The sequence below is a fragment of the Homo sapiens genome, chromosome 3, assembly GCF_000001405.40.
Source record: "Homo sapiens chromosome 3, GRCh38.p14 Primary Assembly".
Classification (NCBI taxonomy): Eukaryota; Metazoa; Chordata; class Mammalia; order Primates; family Hominidae; genus Homo; species Homo sapiens.
This window is the reverse complement of record NC_000003.12, coordinates 4,809,242-4,829,827: the sequence shown is the minus strand read 5'-3', so window position 1 is coordinate 4,829,827 and position 20,586 is coordinate 4,809,242. Positions and strand designations below refer to the sequence as shown.

The 20,586-nt window shown below is 45.0% G+C and overlaps 1 protein-coding gene and 1 long non-coding RNA gene across 11 annotated transcripts in view, besides 3 other annotated features; one reads left to right on the top strand and one right to left on the bottom strand.

Moving 5' to 3' along the window:
* Positions 1-15,536, top strand: part of LOC124906209 (uncharacterized) — a 73,328-nt gene extending 57,792 nt beyond the window's left edge. For 6 of the 7 annotated variants that reach the window (XR_007095795.1, XR_007095796.1, XR_007095794.1 and 3 more), the window contains 2 exons: positions 3,966-4,082; positions 15,397-15,536. This is a non-coding gene — a long non-coding RNA (uncharacterized LOC124906209). The remainder of the gene's footprint in view (positions 1-3,965; positions 4,083-15,396) is intronic. The other variant, XR_007095791.1, reaches the window with a different exon arrangement.
* ITPR1 (inositol 1,4,5-trisphosphate receptor type 1) overlaps positions 1-20,586 on the bottom strand; it is a 354,159-nt gene that overhangs the window by 17,679 nt on the left and 315,894 nt on the right. For all 4 annotated transcript variants that reach the window (NM_001378452.1, NM_001099952.4, NM_001168272.2 and 1 more), the window contains 5 exon segments: positions 18,368-18,563; positions 16,594-16,686; positions 15,266-15,405; positions 14,610-14,775; positions 11,586-11,746 (listed from right to left, as the gene is read on the bottom strand). In NM_001378452.1, the coding sequence (NP_001365381.1) occupies positions 11,586-11,746; positions 14,610-14,775; positions 15,266-15,405; positions 16,594-16,686; positions 18,368-18,563 (756 nt within the window).
* Positions 4,783-5,283: an enhancer, noted in NCBI's record as "H3K4me1 hESC enhancer chr3:4866229-4866729 (GRCh37/hg19 assembly coordinates)". NCBI's record gives its function as "activates a minimal SCP1, AML or CMV promoter by ChIP-STARR-seq in primed H9 embryonic stem cells {active_cell/tissue: H9 hESC(primed)}" and the evidence as "EXISTENCE:reporter gene assay evidence [ECO:0000049][PMID:30033119]".
* Positions 11,346-11,732: a silencer, noted in NCBI's record as "fragment chr3:4859780-4860166 (GRCh37/hg19 assembly coordinates)". NCBI's record gives its function as "represses an EF-1alpha promoter that drives an FKBP-Casp9 reporter gene in an ReSE screen in HepG2 liver carcinoma cells {active_cell/tissue: HepG2}" and the evidence as "EXISTENCE:reporter gene assay evidence [ECO:0000049][PMID:32094911]".
* Positions 14,554-15,753: an enhancer, noted in NCBI's record as "MED14-independent group 3 enhancer chr3:4855759-4856958 (GRCh37/hg19 assembly coordinates)". NCBI's record gives its function as "activates an origin of replication core promoter dependent on BRD2, BRD4, P300/CBP and CDK7 cofactors, and independent of MED14, by STARR-seq in HCT116 cells {active_cell/tissue: HCT116}" and the evidence as "EXISTENCE:reporter gene assay evidence [ECO:0000049][PMID:35650434]".

The window sequence follows — 20,586 nt, the reverse complement described above, 5'->3', positions numbered from 1 at the left end:
TTTTAGAGCAGAAACTATTCTGTGTGATATTCTAAAGGTGGATACGTGTCATTTGAATTGGTGAAAACCCACAGAATGCACAACATGAAAAGTAAGCAGCAAATGATGGAGGGACATTAATATCAATGTATCCAATATTGGCATATCAAATCTTAACAAACAAACAGGCCACAATAATACAAAACGTTACTAACAGAGGAAACTGGCAGGAAGTCAGGAGGAGAAGGGCATGTATGAGAACTCTGTACTTTCTGCCCCATTTTTCTGTAAACTTCAAACTGCTCTAAAAAATAAAGTCTAGTAATTTTTTCTTATTAAAAAATTATCATCCTTTTATTCTTTTTAATTTTTTTTCTTCTTCTATCCTGTGAGTCTATTAATTTTTTAAAAATGGGATTCCATACCCGGAATTTGTTGGCCAGCCCCAAATTCAAGGAATTCAGTTCTCTTTGTCCCAAAAGTACAGTGACTTCAGACCACATGCATATTAATATCCCTGTATTTCACAGGTTCTGTACATTTCTGCCACAGCCTTGTGACATTAGTGTGTCAGTAGAAAAAGCAATGGCCTGTAATAAGAAGAGTTTCAGTTGTGTGTATACAGGACGGTGAATGAGTGTATAAGTCAGCTAGCTCACCAACCTGGTCTATTTTCTTTCTTTCTTTTTTGAAAGAGATCACCTCACCAGCTACCTCACTGGGTTACTGTAAGGATCAGATGGCTATAAAAATGTCCCACAAACTGGAAAGCATTATGCAAAAGTATTATAAATCAGTATGTCATCTGCCTAGAGCTGGGATAGAGTCAGCACTGCAATCCACGTATTGACTCTAATTTCAGTGCTCAGCTCCTGGGTAAAGATAGTTCCTTTCTTTCTTTGGGATAAAAATTTTAGGGATACTGATTTCTCTTTTTACCAGCTAAGCCACATGAAGGGTATCCAAACGGCATAAATCAAGGTGTCAGTCTGGTTCTGTTTTTGAGCTCTGAATGACATTACCAAAACAGGCCACATTATATAATCTTCAGCTGGACTGGAATGACCAATCACCCTTCCCAGACTCCATAGTTGTTCTTGGATGATACAGCGCAACAAAGATGGGCTCATCCCAGCAGAGAGAACCACACCCGTTTCTGATGAAATCCCTAGGAAGAGCCAGCCTCAGAATAATCCTTTCAAGTCATTCTGGGGCCACCGGTGGAGGATTTCCTGGGCACCCACAGGGTGCCATGGTGCACAGGGACCATGGTACACAGGGTGCACACTTGCTGGGTCCTGGGCACCTAGGCTGCCAGGCTGAGGAAACCAGAGGACAGGAGGAGAAAAAGGTGGGGCCGGCCACCCGTGCTGGACAAGGGCAGGGCGAGCCCATTTGAGACTCTGAATAGAGAACAATCAGGCTCACTCACCCTTCTCCCCACATCAGCATCCAAGCTGGCTTATGACATCTCGCTTAGGCAACTTCCCCTGCACTTTCAATTAGCTAAGAAATATGCCAGAACATTCCCAGTGGCTATGTATGAGGATTTTAGCAATTTTCGTGGTTTTCTTCTATTCTTTTCTGGATTCCAGTAGTATTCAACTTTGATCCATTACTACTTTTATACAACAATGCATTGTGTTTGTTTTAAGCCTAGGGAAACATCTTTCCAAAGTTCTATGCTGTTGTTTCGGGGAAAGATACATTTATCTTTGAAAACACACACACACATCCTCACCAATAAGCTGCTTCAACGCAACCACGTTCCATCTCAGCTTTATCATCTGATGGGCTTTTATACTGGAAAGCTCTGAGCTGAAATGGTTTTACTCAAGGTCAGTCCCGCCTAGACACACCGAGAAAGAAGTGATGGAAGATGTTATCCGTCTCGCCATCTACAGGACTTCATGAAGAACTGAGAAGGGTACCAGCACTGTTATTGACTTAAGAGTGGTTTGGAAGAAAGGTTCCACACAGCTAGATCTCTTTAGGGGGAAAGAGATCATCGGCCATGTGGATGGTCTCCAAATTCCTTAACCCTTTCCAAACCCTCCCCTTTTCTAACCAGCCCCTTGTACTCTGATCCCTGACTCAGACCCTAAGGATCACACCTTCCTGTTTCATATTTCACGAACTCCTATCCGCACTCTGAATGTTGCTTATTGGAATCTTAGACCCTACAAAGGGCACAAGAGACCCTTTGATTCAACTTCCTCATTTTATAGGTGGTAAAACTGAGGCCCTGAAGAGAGAGGATTTGTAAAAGGTGGAAACTCAGTCTAGTTCACCTTGTATAGCTTTCTCATACAAATGACTATCCCTAAATACTAACCTCTTTTCCTCATTCTCACATTCCCTAGAGACATGACAGTAGGCTTCATTGTAAAGACGCAGGTTTTAAAGAACTCTGAATATATATACCTGATGTAGACAGTCATATTCAGAACATTTTCCAGGTGAGAGCAGTTTTATAAGTGCATTTTTATGGTGACACACTTCTCAGTATCATATACTATAGTCCAGCTCTACCAGACACAGTCAATATTTAGAATACACAGGAAATGAAGGAGTTGAAGCAGGGGAGTTACAAATGTAGTTAGGACGTCTGGAAGTAAAGGGCAAGCCGGGCAGCACGGTGGTGGTGCTGTCGGGGCAGGAGCAGGAGGGTGGGTCAGGGTATGGGCGGTGGGGAGAAAATGTACTTTTGGAGCTTATCAGATCTGCCAAGTTGAGGAAAACGTGCATGTATGCAGGTATTTCATGTGTATAATAAGCATGTACAAACTCATACATCGTTGGACGAAGTAGCCAATGGGGAGAAGTGGTTTCATGCACAGTGAAGCGAGTCTTCAGTGGCTGACGGAACAATGTCTGTGCATAACCCTCATGTCCTGCACAGTCTCACAGACTAGACTCCTGGGTATACCTGACTCACGCCCCATGCTCTCCCTTAGCACACAAGCTCCTTCAGGGAGGATCATGGCTCTGCTCAACTCATTGTTACAAACGGCACCTGGCACACCCTCCACGAAGGTCAGAATGTAGGAAATTCGGAGGAGAGCACTGGGAGGTCAGTGCAGAACCGGGGCCCAAACGCCAAGTGCCTCACAATGAAAGGAAAGTGCCAGTGAAGTGCTGCACGGAACAAGGGGTGATTTCATCCTCCCTAGACTAAAGGGCAGAATGTGTTCTAAGGCTGGGTGGGGAAACTTAAGCTCAGCAACTGCTTTGTGCAGCTGCCACTGACACGAACCCAAGCCCAAGTGCACAGGGTGGGGTGAGAGAGGCCTGGCTGGCTGGCTGGGCGGCGAGTCCAGTGACGCTGACACACTGTTTCCAGCCACCGGGAAGCCAGTGCCAAATCCCTCTTCACTCCTCCCTGCTCCGATATTCTTGACTCTGCCGTGGTGCCAGCTAACTTCAGGGGGCATTCTGGGAATCGTATTTGGCAGGCAGCACAGGCTGTATCCTCACCCATGGTTAAGGGCTTGTCAGAGCCCAGGTGACATTTTAACCAATGCTCGTGGCCTCCCAGGTTAGGCCACAAGGAAAGCTGCTGCTCAGCACTACCAATGTTGAAATATCAATATTCTAGGAACATACCTAGGCACTCCCTTCCTGCCAGCATCCTCACTGGAATTCAGAATAAAAGCCCAAACCCATCATCGTGCATCTGCACGAAGCAGAAGGTGTCCACGGCACTTTATCAACAGCCAGGAGCTGCCTGCTTCATGCACAGAGGAGGTGCACAGGCGGGCAGAAAGGTCAGACCAGGGTTAAGTGCACGCCCTGTTGGACTCGCCCTTCCTCTCTCCTGCACCTAAGTGCTGTCTGGCAGGGACTCCAACTTCTGAGTTCCTTAAAGTGAGACGCCCCATGATGGCTGTGTGAATTTTCAGGCTCATTTCGTGGCTCCGGTCACTGCTGCCACCATCTTTTCCCCCAAACCTAGGTCCTTACTCTTATCTAATCATGATCTGCAGGAAACTCTCCTCCCACCAGCCCCTGCACTTGGTTCCTTGCGTTGCCTCTGGCTGGAAGCTGTTGTCCCCAACTTCAGAAAGTGTCTGCAGATTTCACAGGCTCTCTCTTGGGTCAAGGTAAGACTTCAGCCAGTTCCCCTTTTAAACAGAAGGTAGTGACACGCAGGTATTAAGTTTCCATTTTGATCTTTTGCCCTTGTTAACACGTTGCTTTCTGTATTTGCTTCCTGTGTCATCTTATCAAATACAGATAAGCACAAGGGCCAGATGTCCTACTGCTTTTGAATCTTCTCATAATGTTTCCTCATAGATGTTTAGTAGCACTGAATTAGCTAATAGAACTTATTTGCTTGGAAATGTTACCCAGGAGGTGCTTGTCAGGCAAAAAGGCTCTTTTGCATGTTACTTTTTTTGAAGCAAATTACCCGCAGCTCTCAGGAAAGCATTTTTCAGGAATGCGGGCTCCTGGGCTCTCCCCTCCTAAGCAAAAGCACCCCACCACCTCCTGAGAGCATCCCACTTGCTGCCACATTGAGCCTACTTTTGATCTGGAAAATTGCTCCTTTGCTTCTGGATCCTGTATAGCTAGTTTCTGAAGAGGTCAAGTGAACTAACCCGTAATGGAACAAACTGGAAAATCTCCAATGGAATGTTGAGGGCAAGGAAGAGGGAGCAGGAGAGGCAAAGAGAGAAAGTAGGGAGGTGTCTACCCCCACTGTGAGAAAAACTCAGCACCAGGCTTAAAGGATGATGGAGCAGACATTCTCATGTGTAATTATTAGGGAGTTAAAGTCGTTCAGATGAGTCACCTGGGTGTGGAAGCTCCAGTCTGGCTGTGGTTGTAGTGAATCGTCCTTCTCCTTTTACTTTGACACCTCTCAAATCTGGCCACCAAAGGACATGTCATTCCCTGTTTCAAGCTAAGGTGAGGGTAGTGAAGTTTCTCATATTTCAGCAGGTCAAAATTAACATATATTTCAGATACATCCTTTGCAAGGGCTGCACTTGATACCCCTTCCTGAACTCCTACCGTCTCAACAACCCCTAGGGTTGTGAAGTGGTTGTCTGAGCAGTGGTTGCTGGCGGCAGCAGCTCGGAAAGTCACACCCCATCTAACTCCTGTCTTACTGATTTATGCATGAGCCGGTCAGTATCCCCGGGAGATCCTCTTTCCCACTCTCCTCTCTACCCGCAGAGGGGCCTTTCCTGCATCTTGCCTCTTTTAAAGGAGGCTAATTCAGTATCACTCGGGGTCGGGGCTGGGAGATGAGCCAGTCCAAGTCTAAGATGCGCCAGTCCAAACCAGATGCCGCCAGCCAGCCAATGGCTGCAGACTGACAGGAGGGCTGTGTGCATGTGCACACAGGTAACCACATGCGGATATGTGGGTCAGGACAACCTGAGGGTGGGTTCTGGTTCAGCAGCTCTGGATTTCAGTCTTGGCTCTAGCACTTCCCAGCGCCGCGACCCTGCAAAAGTTGCTCGACCTTCCTGAGCTTTAGGTTCCCATCTATAAAGTGTTAATAGTACCACCTACCATGCTGTGATGAGGATTGAGTGAGATCATGCACATACAGTGTTTATTTTCCGCACACTGATTACACACGAGCTATTCCTTACTATCCAATCTGCCCTTCCCGAGGTAAAGCAGAGCCCAGCACAGACTGCTCCTCCAGAAACGGCAGCGCTGGTGCATTCCAGAACACTCTAGCTACCATGGGGGGGCAGGTTCTCCCCCGATATTTCACTGTCCACGTTAGTCGACGAATATGCTGTCCTACAGAAGTAGCCAGAGTAGACCAAGGTATCGGGACCTTCTGAAATGTAGATGGACAGTGTTCTATCTGATCAGGCCGTCTTTATATGCAATTCACTCAAAAACACACCTCCGAAAATATAAGAGTTATGTTAACCGGGCAGAATTCCAACATATAGAAGTGAAATCTATAATTAGCAGAAGACATGTCTTATATTTTTTTCATTTGTACAAATGTATGGGGTATATATGAAATTGTGTTACATGTATATAGTGCCTAGTGATCCAGTCAAGGTATCTAGGGCGTCCATCACCCAAGCACCACACATTTTTGTTAATTATAGTCATTCTACTCTGCTATCAAACATATTCCTTCTACCTAACTGGATGTTTGTGCCCTTGAACCCATTTCTCTTCCTCCTTTCCTTTTTCCCCTAACTCACTCTTCCCAGTCTCTGTTATCTATCTTTCCACTTGCCACGTGATCAATTTTGTTTTTTGTTTTTTTTAGCCCCCACATATAAATGAGAACATGCAATATTTGTCTTTTTGTGCTTGGCTTATTTCACTTCAGATAATGGCCTCCAGATCCATCCATGTTGCTGCAAATGACAGGATTTCATTCCTTTTTTATGGCCAAATAGTATTCCACTGTGTCTATATACCACATTTTCTTTATCCATTCATTTGTTGATGGGCACTTATGTTAGTTTCATATTGTTACTGTTGTGTACTTAAGTTACTGTTTGGTCTTCTTTACCAACCTTCCTTCTTAATGCTGCTCAAATTTCTAATTTTCAAGAAGAATTTAGTCTCCTGCATTTGACTATACTAGAAAAATGGGCTGCTGTTTCTTTGCTGGGAATCAAATATTTGGTCTTTTAACTGCAACATGCCCAGGGTGCAGCATCTAGATTCTCTCAGGCAAAGTGCTCATAATGAATTCACCACTTATTCAGATTAAATAGCTCCAATAGCATGGCCTTTCAAATCATCATCTATAGACTAACACAGATTCTCAGTTTAGTTGGCACTAGAGCAAAGGCAAACAGTGCTAAAATTATTCAAAAAAGGGTATGCAGCATATAAATTACTGTGAAAACTTAAATGTAGATCAAGGTTAATAAAAATTTGCTTATTAAAAAAGGCTATCACCAAAACTAGGATGGCACCAAAATTCAAGTTCCCGCAGGGAAAGGAAATTTTTTTTCCCTCTTCCCTTGATCTGCCAAGGGCTATGTCAGGTCACCCCACAGTCACATTTCTCTGAAAGCCCAGGCTTGTCCAGGGCCCAAGTCAGTGAATATGAGATTGCATCTCGGGGAATGAGCGGCGCTGTGAGTTACAGTGGAGGAGGGCTCACTTCCCCTGGTCATTTGAGTACTCGACAGCATCGCCTTCCATCAGGTGCTTGAGTTGAAGGACAAATCTACCAGTGAACCATGAATGATTTCATGATTAATCTGAGGTTTGCCTTGAATACACAGAACTCAGGGTCCACTCCCCAAATCAATGAAAGCTCTACTTCTGGGCAGTAAAAGCAAGTGGAGGAAACCACTAAAGACATGGATAGAACTCACAAGTATCTGTGACCAATTCAACAGAGAAAAGAACGCTAACGTCAACCATGCCCTGCCTCAACTTTGAAGGACACTTAAAGATTTAAAGTTCAAGAGAGAGAAAGACACAGGGATTTTCCAGAGGAGGAGGCTCTTAGAGTCAAGATGCCCACTCTGACTTTTCTTAGTGACAACGTGCCCACAGCCAAGGTGTCTTGCAGAGTTTTGGAACCATAGGAAATGATGCTTCTGTCAGCTCTGCTGTCAGCCCCGCAGCCCCTGCTTCCTGGCTGGCTGTGCTCTGGGCCTGTTGCTCTTTCGCCTGCTCCCTCCCTCTGTGCATGCCTCCCACCTGCCAGGTCTCATTTAGCTCATGTCTACCACCCAACGGATGTGTGAGGCGGTAGGAACCGCGATGTACAGACAGGAAACCCAGGTCAGCAAAGTCCCGTGACTTGCCCAGGGTCACACGGCGAGGGAAGGCACAGAGCGGAAACTCTCACCTTGGATCTTCTACCTCCACTTCTTGGGTAGTGAGGACTTCATAGTAGGCATCAGCCTGGCCCCAGCTTTGAGGGGGATACTCCCATCTCCAGTGAAAGGAGAAAGGGGAAGACCAAAAGGGGAGAGGGAAATATATGATCTATTATGTTTAAACAAGATTAACTTGTGGGTGAACAGCTAGTTGCAGAGTTCTCAACTTAAGACAGAGCTTCTTTACGTGGTCCCTCTTTCCCTCCCTCCAGAGATGACAAGAAACACACTGTTTCTATCTACAGGGAGAAGAGGTCCTGTCACCTTGTCTGTAGGCAGTTCCAGCAGGAATTAGGAAAGGTGAAGTATCTGATCTAGACAGGCTGTTGTGTTTTTACATGGCTGAGCAGCCACCAATGCAGGGAATGTGCCCTTGGGACATGGGACTAGGCAGGGAGGGCCATGGCTCTGCACACAGACACCTCTTTCATTCATGACTCGTCAAATGTCATTCTTTCCAAGTCAGCCTGGGTTTCCAAGAACCCTTCTCAATACAGTGCCCCAGATAAATTCTATGACCCAGTGTGGGGTGAGATGAAAACCCATTTGCCATCCCTGATGCTGCTGTCTGCAAGGAGCTGCTCTCAGGGCAGCTGGGCTCCTCCCTGCCCGAGTGGCATCTGAGGGCTTTTCCATTGGTTCTCTTGGGTTGCCTTTTGGCAGCTGTCATTCCACAAGTCTCCAGGAGTCTCTGGGATCTTCAACCATGGGCTAAAGGAGAGCTGCAGAGTAATCCAACATCCCCAGCCTTCTGCAGTTAGGCAAGAGGTATTTTTCCTGAGGACCACATACCCTAAAAGAGCCTGTATCAAAGGCAAGAGGGCAGTGAGCCCTCCAGCCTGCTTTTCCTTCCATCTCTGCCACTGCCCATCAGCTGTCCCTTCTCTGTCCTCCACGCTGGAGTAGCTACAGCCTCCTGGGGTTGGCTCATTCAAGAGATCACCTGATTTTCCCTCCCAGCAGCAGTGGGTAGGATGCCCCCGCTCAGTGGGGAGGCTGGTGGGGGCCTCATCCCAACTGTGGCTGCCTCCACAGGGTGTGACTAAGTGGGGCCCACAGGTGGTCTTGTAGCCTCTGCACCGCAGCTCTGAGGTCCCATGGGGCCCCAGCCCCCACCCCCACCAAATGACTCAGCTGGGCACCCCAGCCGCTACCCTGATGGGGCTAATGCTCCCTTAGGAGTCCGCAGCAGGGATTCATGTGGTTTCAAGCCTAAACACAACAGCAGACAGCGCAGGCGAGAAGGCACCACCGTTTAGCGGTAGATCTGACGCTTCTCTGAGCCACCACTTAGCGCACAGAACATCTGGTTCTGCAACAACTTTAACATTCAGAGAAGAATTCCTTGATGCTGTAAGATTTTTAGGTTTTCTGACAAGATGTCTCATATAATCAAAGAATGATGTGGATGGAGAAAGCACACCAAACACCCAGGCCCTCAGAGTGTTGCCACGCAGCAGGCTCTGACCGGGTTGGGTGGGTGGCGGGCTACAGGTCACTCTGGCTCTTAATCCTTATCAAGTGACTGCTCACAAGACGCCTTTAAGTCTCCACGATTGAGACAGAAACCCAAAAGTGTGCCAGAGTTTTCTGTGACCGGAAAGTAAGGTGATTAAGAGAAAACTTCAAAACTGGCCCCTGGAAGATGTAAAGATAGGACCCACTCAAACACTTCAGAGACAAGAGAACAAAGTCAGGGGTGAGAAGGAACATAAGTCAAGGGTGAACAGTACAGGCCTCCTCTAGACATTAAGACATCGAATGCAAATGAAGGTCATTATCTGTGCATGTGGACAGGTCTGTGTCAGTATAAATGCTGATCGAGTAGGGTTTAATTTGCCAGTTTCAACAATTGGAGGAAAAGAAGGGAACTGAGGACTTTTCAGTTAATGTGTCCTGACCCTGGAAACCTCACCTGTGGAAATCCACACTGGCACCCATCAGAATCCCTAAGCTGCTTAAAAATAGGAGTCTGCTCCCAGAATCACCAGCACCCTCCCGGTTTCCTATCAACGACATGATTATGGAGTGCGATTTCTACAGTCAGCCAAGCCTGGTTTGAATTCTGGCTCAGCTCCTTCTGAACTGTTCCTAGGAAGTCACTTAACCCCCAGCCTGGCTTTTATCTGTAAAAGGGATAAGCCATCATCAGCATTCTGCAACTTGTGTCTTTTTCTCCCCAGTCTGTGCTGATTTTTTTTTCTCCTTTCTTTCTGCTAATCTATGACCCTAGTGACTTCATCCTCTCTTTCAAAACCTTTTTCAAAAGTTACCTCTGCCGTGAACCTCCATCCATCTCTCCCCATCCCAGAAGTCCCTTCCTCCGGGTTCCCCATGGAGCGTAACTTTAACAACCAAATACAATACTAGAGGTGAGAGGATTTTACAAACCGAAGAGGGCCAAATGTATGTAAAGGATTAGGAATATTTCTCCTCATCATTCGCACAACCCCTCTGAGAGTAATCTTAAGTAAGCATCTGCTTTGTCTCCTCTGTGAGGCTCTTACTACTTAAAGGGTGATTCCCGGGCCAGCAGCTTCGGCATCTCCTGGAAGGTTGTTGGAAATGCAGAATATCTCAAGTCCTGGAAGTGACTGCTGAGTCAAAATGTGAATTTTAACATGCTCCACAGGTGATTCATATGTACAATAAAATTTGAGAAGCATGGAATTCAACTCTAAGGACCTCAAGGGTACAGACGGCACAGAATCTCCAGAAAGCCCTCCAGAACCTAGGAGAGGCCTCTGTGCCTCTGTAATCGGGGTATTCAGCAAACACAACCACGTAATCGCTGCCCTGCTGGCAATAAAACTGAAAGCCTGGCTGCCTCTAGGCCTGTCAATGATGATACTTATCTGAACAGACCTGACTTCCAGTATCTTTACATAAAAAGCCTGAAAATTACATCTAGGTAAAAAGCAGGCTCCTTTAGGGTAAGTCATTATCAGGCCGAGCACTCAAGTCCTTGGTAACTGGAAGGAGAGTTGGCCCCTTCTCCTCAGAGGCAGCCAGCGTGAATCACAGAGACTCCCTCGATTTCACAGTTCATGCTCCTCACGCCACTATCCACCCCTGAACATTTTAATGATGTTCGGAAAGCACAGGTCTGAAAGGACAGCTGGCCCGGGACACCCACAGCGCACGTTTGGTGTCTCAGCAAACTCTGCCCGAGAAGTGTTCTCTAACAGCCTGAAGCAGCTTCCCCGCTTCCTGGGACACAGTATCCACACTTCCCATCAGCGAAAAGATTAATTTGGAACTCAAATTCCTCCATCATATGATCACTTCTTAACGATTAGTAGAGTGTCTCCCAGAAAGGCGAGGCTGAGGGCAAACACAAACCATGCTGGACTGCAGTGAGCAGTCACTTTGCCTCTAAGACACCTCTTAGAGAGTAGGTGTTAATTAAAAAGAAAGGGGAAAAAAGCACTATCAAGAAAAGAGGCAGATTCACATAGCGACAGGAAATCGGGCTATGGAGTTTGATCCAGATTAAAATCCCAGCCCCAGTTCCGTGGTCACGTGCTAATCTCACCGAGGCTCAACATTTCCCCCACTAACACAGGCCAATACCACCTATCTAGTGGTTCTGAGGATCACTCCAGAGAACACACGAAGTTCACAGAGCACAGCGCCCCATCCGTGAGAAGGGCTCAGGCAACATCGGATGTTATTCTTCTGTTGTGCAGCTCCCCGATGGGCTGCTGGGGCCTTGCTCAGAGCTGAGTAGGCCCCAAGTCCACCTTGCTCCCAGGAGGCCTTTCCACTCACCTTGATCATTTCTGCCACGTAACTCTCAGGCCCAGTATATTCGGTGGAGTCCTTTACTTTCACCAGGACGATGAAGCACAGATAGTGCCACATGTTGTGTTCTTCCTTGATGTGCTCTTCAAAGGTGACAGTCTTGTTGTCAAACTTGTCTCTTTCCAAGCCTAAAAATGAGACAAAAAGCCCCCAGCCCCAGCTGAGCAGCCTTGGTAAAGAAAAAAAATCAATAACAGAACTGTCAGTAGAAAGGGGGCTGTGGTTTCACTCCTGTCTTTATAAAGAGTTGGATTCTGTCGGCCTTATAAGTACATTCATGTTTACATTATGGCAGGAAAACACAGGCTGTGAGTCAGACAGACTTGGGTTTGAATCCCACCTCTGCCACTTGGCAGTTGCTGCTTCATCTCCACATGCCTTAGTGGCCTTGTTAGTGAATGGGGAGACCGCCGTCTAGGTTCCAGGAGTGTTTAGGGGTAAAATGAGAATGTGTGTGACACTCTCACATATTGCATGCAACCAGGGAATGTGAAGTCCCTTCGCCCAGGTAAATGCCAAAATGCAGACATGTTAAGGTTTTTTGAGGAGACAGAATAAGTAAGGACAACAAGAACTTTAAACAAATTTTGAACTCTAGCTGGTAGGTTTATAATTTGAAGAGGCCGGGGTGAGCAATTCTAGTCTGTACGTATTCTAGGATTGATCAAATAAATATATCACGGATAATGGGAGCTGGATTCCTCACTGCCTGAGAAAAGAACACAAATAGAGAAAGGGAGAAAGAATAAACCCTGTAATGCTGAAACGGAATTAAAGGTATCAGTATGAATTCATCCTTTTTCATACATATATACACAGATGTGTGCAGATACATGTGCTGTGTACACATACACACATATGCAGATGCATACACCTCTCCTCTAGATCTGCACCCTAATAAGCCCTGAGAGCAGCAGCACACCAACAGGAATGAGCACACTCAGTCCCCAGATCTTGGCTTCTAAATACCTTTCTCCAGTAAAAAGAACCGGGGCTCTTTGGAGAAATGGCTGATTCCAGGGATGGCTCAGGAAATGTACAAGGTGAGCCTAAGCCTGGAATATATTATGATGCCAAAAAAGTAAGAAAGTACATAGAAAACGATGATGACATGACTAAACCCAGGAGTCAGCTGGAAAGGGCTCTCACTGGCCACATCTGAAGCAATTTGAACATCAAAATAAATAGCCCATTGAATAAAATAAAAATCCACAAGTCCATGTAGTTACAAATACAAACACAGAAATATAAACACATATGTGGGGAGAAGAAAAAATTCTTTCTTACAATAAAAAGCCAATAAAGAAATGTAGAAATAATAATAACATAAAAATCATCATTGGGCAACCATCATCATAATAGAGTTAGCCAAGCATCATCAATGAATGCTAAAGCTGAGGGGTGAAAGTTTAAGGAATAGCACGATATTTACAGAGTGTCTCTCCAAAAAAGTAACTTTATGGAGTTACTGGAAAAACCTGGCAATTAGCACCTTAACCAAATGATCAACGTTAGTATCACGGCTGGGCGCAGTGGCTCATGCCTGTAATCCTAACACTTTGGGAAGCTAAAACGGGCAGATTGCCTGAGCTCAGTAGTTCAAGACCAGCCTCTCAGCAACATAGTGAAATCCCATCTCTACTCAAATACAAAAAATCAGCCAGTTGTGGTGAGAGGCACCTGTAATCCTAGCTACTCAGGTGGCTGAAGCACGAGAATTGCTTGAACCCTGGGAGGTGGAGGTTACAGTGAGCCGAGATACTAGTTACAAGATGAACTGGCATTACATGCCTCCTGATACGATGCAATGAGAAGAACACAACAGCATGTCTTTGATATTCCTGTGGAAAATACATACCCTCAATCTTACCATGAGCAAACATCAGACAAACTCAAATCAAGGGACATTCTACAAAATAATTGACCTACATTCTTCAACAGTGTCAGCGGAGGCTCACGAGGCATGGTGACTGAAGCCCCGCAGGAGGTGGGATTTGCAAAGGACATTATTGGAATGAAGGGTGAAATTTGAATAAGGTCTGTAGATGAGATAACAGTATTGGATCTGTTTTAATTTCCCAATTTTGATAATTATACTGTAGATACACAAGAGAATGTTCTTGTTTTTAGGAAATGTGTACTAAAATATTTAGGGATAAGAAAGCATCACTGTCAGCCACTCACATTAGAAAATGTGTGTGTGTGTGTGTGTGTGTGTGTGTGTATAAAGCAAATGAGATAAAATATTAATATTTGGGGATTCTGGGTGAAGAATATATAGAAATTCTTTGGATAGTCATGTCTTTTCTATAACTCTGAAATTATGCCAAAGCAAAAAGCTTAAAAAGGTTTTAAGGGGGCAAAAAGCAAAGAATTTAAGTCTTTAATTGGAAACTGATCTTTTTTTTTAGCATACATACCACTAGGAAATTTATATATTTAGTAGCTATATTATGAATAATCCTGAAATGATTACTCAGCTCCCCAGATTCCTCCATGATTAGTTTACATTTACAAATATTTTCCTGTAGTTATACTGAAAATGATTTGTTTGGTGTCCATGCACCTCTTTTACGTAGCCGTTCACTACTTCTCCTCCCGTGCCTATAGTGTGCCAGGTTCTAGCTAGGAGTGTTACATACGCTGTCTCTCATAATTCTCACAATAATGCAGAGAAGGACATGTTATTGTACCCATTTTACAGATGAAGAAAGAAGGATTAAAGATGTTAAATGACTAAATGATGTTACACAGTTAGTTAAGTGGTAGAAGCTCAGTCAGAACCCAGGTCTGTAAATACTTCCCAGCAGAATAAAGGCCAAGGAGAGCCTCACTCACGGCAGAGGGTAGAAGAGTCAAGACGAAGCAGCAGCCGGTGCCCCCTCCCGCATAACTGGGCAGGCACCCCGCCCATCACACCCTCGCAGTATCCACATGCCTCTGCCACGCTGGGCCTTCACGCCCTTGCTGGAGCTGGCCAGCGACACTCACCACAGATAAAGCACGTGGTCTTCAAGATCTCTTCCTTCTTCTGCTTCTCACTCCTCAGGTCAGCAAAAGTGTCAATGATAACCCCAAAAATCAGGTTAAGAACAATGATGATGACCATGAAGAAGAACAAGAGGTCATAAATAACTCTAGCAGCAAACAGGGGTTCCTGGAAAAGAGAGGTGTCTGGATCAGTCTGGGTCCCTTGCGACCCTTTGGTCTGCGGAGCCTGGGGCACAGCTCAAGTGAGACCTCATCTACTTGGGTAGAAATTAAATTGGGCATTCAACTTTTAAACTGAAAACTGCATCTCTTTTCATGTCCCCTGTCTCAATTGCGACTTCTCCAAGTGTGGTGTGACACAGCCAGGAGGGATATTCACTGTGCGTTCAGGTGGATCAGGCCTAACCCTGATGGAAACAGTCCCTAAGTCTACTGAACAGAGAGCCAAAGCCAACCCTTTCCACGCAGCTGACTTTGCGGCACCACCTCACGTGATAGAGAGGAAAGGAGCCTGATGAGCTAGTTCCGCAGCTACTCAGCCCTACTCCCAGCTCTTCCTCTGCGTCTTCAGTTTACACTCAACACCGCTGCATGGTGCTCCCACCAACCACCCCACCCGCCCCCTTTGCCCTTCCTTCCCCTCGGGATTAATTTACCTCTTTGGACGGCTTCCTGAGTACATCTCCTACTCCACCCCCGCTCCGCAGCCCGTGACTCAGCACAGTGACAATGCACATCAGCAGCGTCTCACATGTGTGCTCTTTATCCTGTTCCGTCTCTTCTGCAGGGACCAGCTCTGTGAACACGGCAAGTAACAACAGAGAGAAAACGTGAGGAGAAAAGAGAGACCGGGATTTTGAAATCCTGTTTCCTGAATGCCATCTCACCAGGCACACGAAAGAATAAAATTAAGGAATCAAGAGCCAAGAATTTTCTTATTTTCTTTCAAAAGCTAAAGTCGTCTGGGGCAACTGTTTTCATCGCTAACCCCCGCTAATTTCTCCAGCTATGGTAGTATTGCTCTCCCTCTGTGGGATCTAAAACATGCCCTGTCCTTTTCAGGTTTTAAACCCCAGACCCAGCCGCAAACAGTCTTTTCATGTCAGATGAGTTGCTTCGCAACTCTGAGTCACAGGCCTCTTGTCTCTCAGATGAGGGTTATGCCACAGGACACAGGTTCCTCACTGGGAATGGTGTGAGGACTATATCCAGGGATATTTCACGGCAGGGCCTCTGGATCAACTGCTTTACATTGGAGGCTGTTCATTCTCACTGGTTTATGCAGTAAGAGCCATGCCTTGCTGTGTGCCTCATTCCTTTCTCCAGCTGCAGAGGGTCTTGCTAAAACACAGATTTCATCACTCATCTTCCAACAACCCCTGACCATCCTCTGGACGAAGTTTAACCTCCTACGCCTGACATAGAAGATCCTTCATGATCTAGCCCTTTGTTTGTATCTGTGGCTTCATTTCTTGCCACTCTCCTTCCTTATAATCATTATCTCCCCAAACTTGCTGTTTTTTTCTTTTTACCTTTAAAGCCTTTAGATGTACTATTCCCTCTCCTTGGAATATCAAGAGTCTCCTTTTATAGTTTGGATATCACTTTCTTGATGATACGCTTAGCCCAGTAGTAGGCCGGGTGCCTAACTTCTGTATTCCATCCTTATTCCCAGCATTGGGCAACTCTCTAGCAATCACCATTTGGCCTGCCCGCACCCTCCACTACATTACTGTCTCTTAGAGTACACCACAGTCCCTGGCAAATGGCGGGCACTCAGTATAAATCGGCTGAATCACATCAGATCTTTTCTTCAGGTGTAACCTTCTTTTCCCTTCATCTCCCTCCTCTTTCTCAGCCTTTCCCCTTTGCTATAGCCTTACTCCTGAGCAGTAAATTTAATCTTCTTCCAACATCACCTGCATCAGCTAAGCCTCTGGAGGAGTCCGATATTAACATGGGGCTTACAGTTAGGAGGTCCTACCTTCTCTGGGTGCAGGAGAGGAGCAGTTCTCCCCACTCTCCACCCTACACACATCGGAGAACAGGAACTCGCTTGCCAAACTCTCGCCGGTTTCTGGGAGAGAGAAGGAAATTTTATGATGAACAATCTGGCAGCATATGGTTAAAATGTTTGAAGTCCCCAATTCACGGCTGATTAAACAATTCTTTACATAAATAACACCCTAGAATCTTGCATATAAATTCAAAGCAGAAATGCAATTTACACTTTCATTTGGTGATCTGGATGGGAAAAAAGCCAAAAATGTCAATTCCTGTAGGCTTACTAGAAATATCGCACTTAAATAGCACCTCTCCAACTTTAAAGACAAACAGCTGAAACTCTTAGACAGATACTACTGAACGTACAGACTCTGGCAAGATTTATACCAAGTCTGCACGAGAAGCATTAGCAGGCATTAATAGAAATCCAAGGTCCAGGCCAGTTTAGTCCACAACTCTAAGATGGCTGGCAGTAAATGTCACTTAGTGTCAACTTGGGAGGCTGGAGATACATGCCAAGAACACAGCATTTGGGAGGGAGAGCACAAAGGCTGGCTGGCTCAGTCAGCCACAACGATTCTAGTCTGTTTCTTAGACTCGGGATGAAAAACCAGTAGTATTTCACTAAGTCGGGCCAACTATTGTAACTGAGAGAAGAGGGCACTTGGGTACCATTCAAGTATTATGGTCATTTTTTTTCACTCTCAGAATTGGAAATCTCTTCTGTTCTTGCTATGTGTAAAAATAACATGAGCTCACTGTAAAACCTGCATATAGTAAAAAAGCCCCAGAGAGAGCTACTGCTAGCAGTCTGGAGGTACAGTCATCCATGTTTTAATATATGTATATGGGCTTTTTAATTTTTAAGAAAACATAAGACCAGGCATAGTGGCCCACACCTGTAATCCCAGCACTTTGGGAAGCTAAAGCTGGGGGATCGCCTGAGCCCAGGAGTTCGAGACCAGCCTGGGCAACATGGCAAGAACCTATCTCTACAAAAAATACAATTAGCCACATGCAGTGGCAGGCGCCTGCAGTTTCAGCTACTGGGGAGGCTGAGGTGGGAGGATTGCTTGAGCTCGGGAGGTTGGAGGTTGCAGTGAGGTGAAATCATACCACTGCACATCAGCCTGGGAGACAGAGTGAGATCCTGTCTCGAAAAAAAAAAAAAAAAAGACATACATGTGATCCTACTATAGTTATCCTTCTGCCATTTCCAACTACATCTTGTGGGTATTTTTCCATGGAGGTTTCTAAAGATGTACCTATGTGCAAGGCACCCCACCTCATGGATGTACCATGATCTGATGAAACACCCCCGAACATTTACACTGCTTCCAACTGTACACTGCAGCGAACGTTCTCCCATATATGTCTGTTTCTACGTGCACAGTCGGCAGCCTTTTTTTCTTTAAGTATTGATCCTAGAAGTAGATTTACTCAGTTAAAGGGATGCATACTCCAACGCTCTCAATATGTATGGTCACTGCTTTACAAAAAAGTTGCACTAGTTTAAAAGATGATGTTAGTGAATAAATAAATGTCAGATCTGGTCACCCACTCTTAGCATTTGATATGCCACATTGCCACATTCATTGTGAGAATGAAGACCTGTATTTGAAATTCACACTCTGCGTGTTAGGGAGATACAATGGGGAGATATCTGCATTACTAAAGTCGTTATTTTCTTTAGTTCAGTTATAATCAGGAAATAATCTTTTAGCATTAAAAAGATCAGAAGATCCCAAACCCACCTGGAACAGCTGTTTCATTGGGCAGCCTATCTACTTCCAAGATAAAGTCATCCTTGAAGAAAAGATAGCCCACTATTGAGAACAGGTAAACGAGGATCAGAGCCAGAACTGCTGTCAGGATGATGGACCGTCCATTGCGAGTGACACTTTTAATGACATTAAGCAAAGTCTCTTCTCTGTACACTAAATCAAAAAGCTTTGAAAACAAACAAAAAGAATTTTAAGAAGCCTTGATGTTAGATGTACATCACTATCCCATAATGCAAACTTGGTTTATAGAGAGTTTGCCCTCTTAGACACTCAAAAGCACTACATATGATCTTAACACTGAACATCTTCCCTGGCTTCACAGTGAAACGGAGATGGTAAAAATGAGGAAAAATAAACACAGAAGAGGAAGCAGGAAACAATAGCAACTTCAAGTAGTATCCAGAGCCATTTAGAGGGACTGGAAATAGAGAAAATACATGCTTGTGCCAATGAGTTTCAGAGACAAAGGGAGAGGAAAGTGATGAGGGTCTTGGCATCCATTCATTTAGAAGGTACTGAATTGAGTTTATGAAGAGCCAGCCACCCTGGTCCCTGCCCTCCTGCAGCCCAGTGTCTGGTGGGAAGGCAGACGTACTACAAGCCAGCGTCAGTGGCAAGAACTCTGGACTTAGATGTAAATTCAAATCTCAGCTCAGCTACTGTCCACCGTATGATCTCGGGCTAGGCACTTTCCTCATCCCCTCTGAGTCTCCATTTCCTCATTTGCAGACTGGAGGATGTAGAGTTGTTATGAAGAATAAGTAAACCACGTACGCACAGTGCTTAGCACACTGGCATCCATATGCTCAGTAAGTACAGTAAATAGTAATTATCATCAATTTCCTGATCAAGAGACTGGGGCAGGGTCACATAGCTGGTGTATCGCAGGGACATTAGTGACGTTAACATTGCGAGGGTAAGACCCCTGCAGGTCACAGTGCCTTCACAATCCAGGCTTGCCCTCTGCTAAGGAACCTGCTCTTTGCAAGAAGTTGGCTTCCTGAGGAATGGAGGATCCTTGTAGGTACATATAGGTATGGGAGGATGATGGCTAGTTTTCCAAGAGCTACAGTCACAGATACTTGACTGGGAGAATGGTGGGGAGTGTGGGGAGAGAGCTCTCTGAAGTTACTCTTAGACCTGAGGCTAGTTTTTAGCATGGCCTCTGGCTGCTGTCTAATCCTGTACAGAAGGTTTGGTCTCCACTGTGGCTTTGGGGTGTGACTGCACCATGAAGTGAGTCAGGGGACAGGGTTGAATCCTGACTGCTTTTAATTTGTTGCAAGATGTCGGCCAAGCCATCTAAGCTCTCTGGATCTGTTTCCTCATCTGTAAAATAAGTGGACTGAGACAGCTGATCTCTGAGTCCCTTCCAATTTAGAATTTTTCATCTGAGGTCATTTTCCGGTCGATTGGCTTTTCTGCCTCCTTGACACCAATCTGTGTTCTGAGACTAGTTCTGTGAAGGGCATTGGGTAGAGTAGGATACTTAAAGGGAAGCAAGGAAGAGGGATTTTAGTCAATACAATATGACAGAAGGCAAAGTGTTGCTGTTAATGTTGGTTAAATGTTTTCCAGCAGCTCAATATAAAGTGGCAAGTAAGCGCAACTTCAGACAACAAACAAATGGCACTTGTTTTCTGTGGTTAAGGACCGCAGAGATTACACAGGCTCCAAATCATAGAAATGACAAGCGATTTTTTCCTTTTCACTCATCTATAGTTTCTGATTTTAAAACAATCAATAAGTATTATTTATATAAAAGAAAAGCTTTCTTCTAATTGGAAAATTATACATGTTCAATGGAGAAAACTTGGAAAACAAAAAAAAGCACAAAGGAAAAAAAGTCACTAATAATTCACCATCTAGAGACATTCGCTCAATAGCTTAATTCCTTCTGGCCTTAAAAAATGCAATTTATAGATATATATTGTTTACAAAAATATTAGACCATAATACTGGCACATAACCAGCCTTTCACCAAGCCATCAGGAACATTTTCCTGTCAAAAATGATCACCTGGTATTTCACTATATGGGAAAAACATGATTAACATAACCAATATGTTTTTTAAAAACAGTCAAGATGTTTCCAATTATATGTCATAACAAATAATGCTGTGAGGAACACTTCTATACATGCCTCCATACGTGCTCGTCTAGTTATTCCTTTTCGGCGAATTTTTGGAA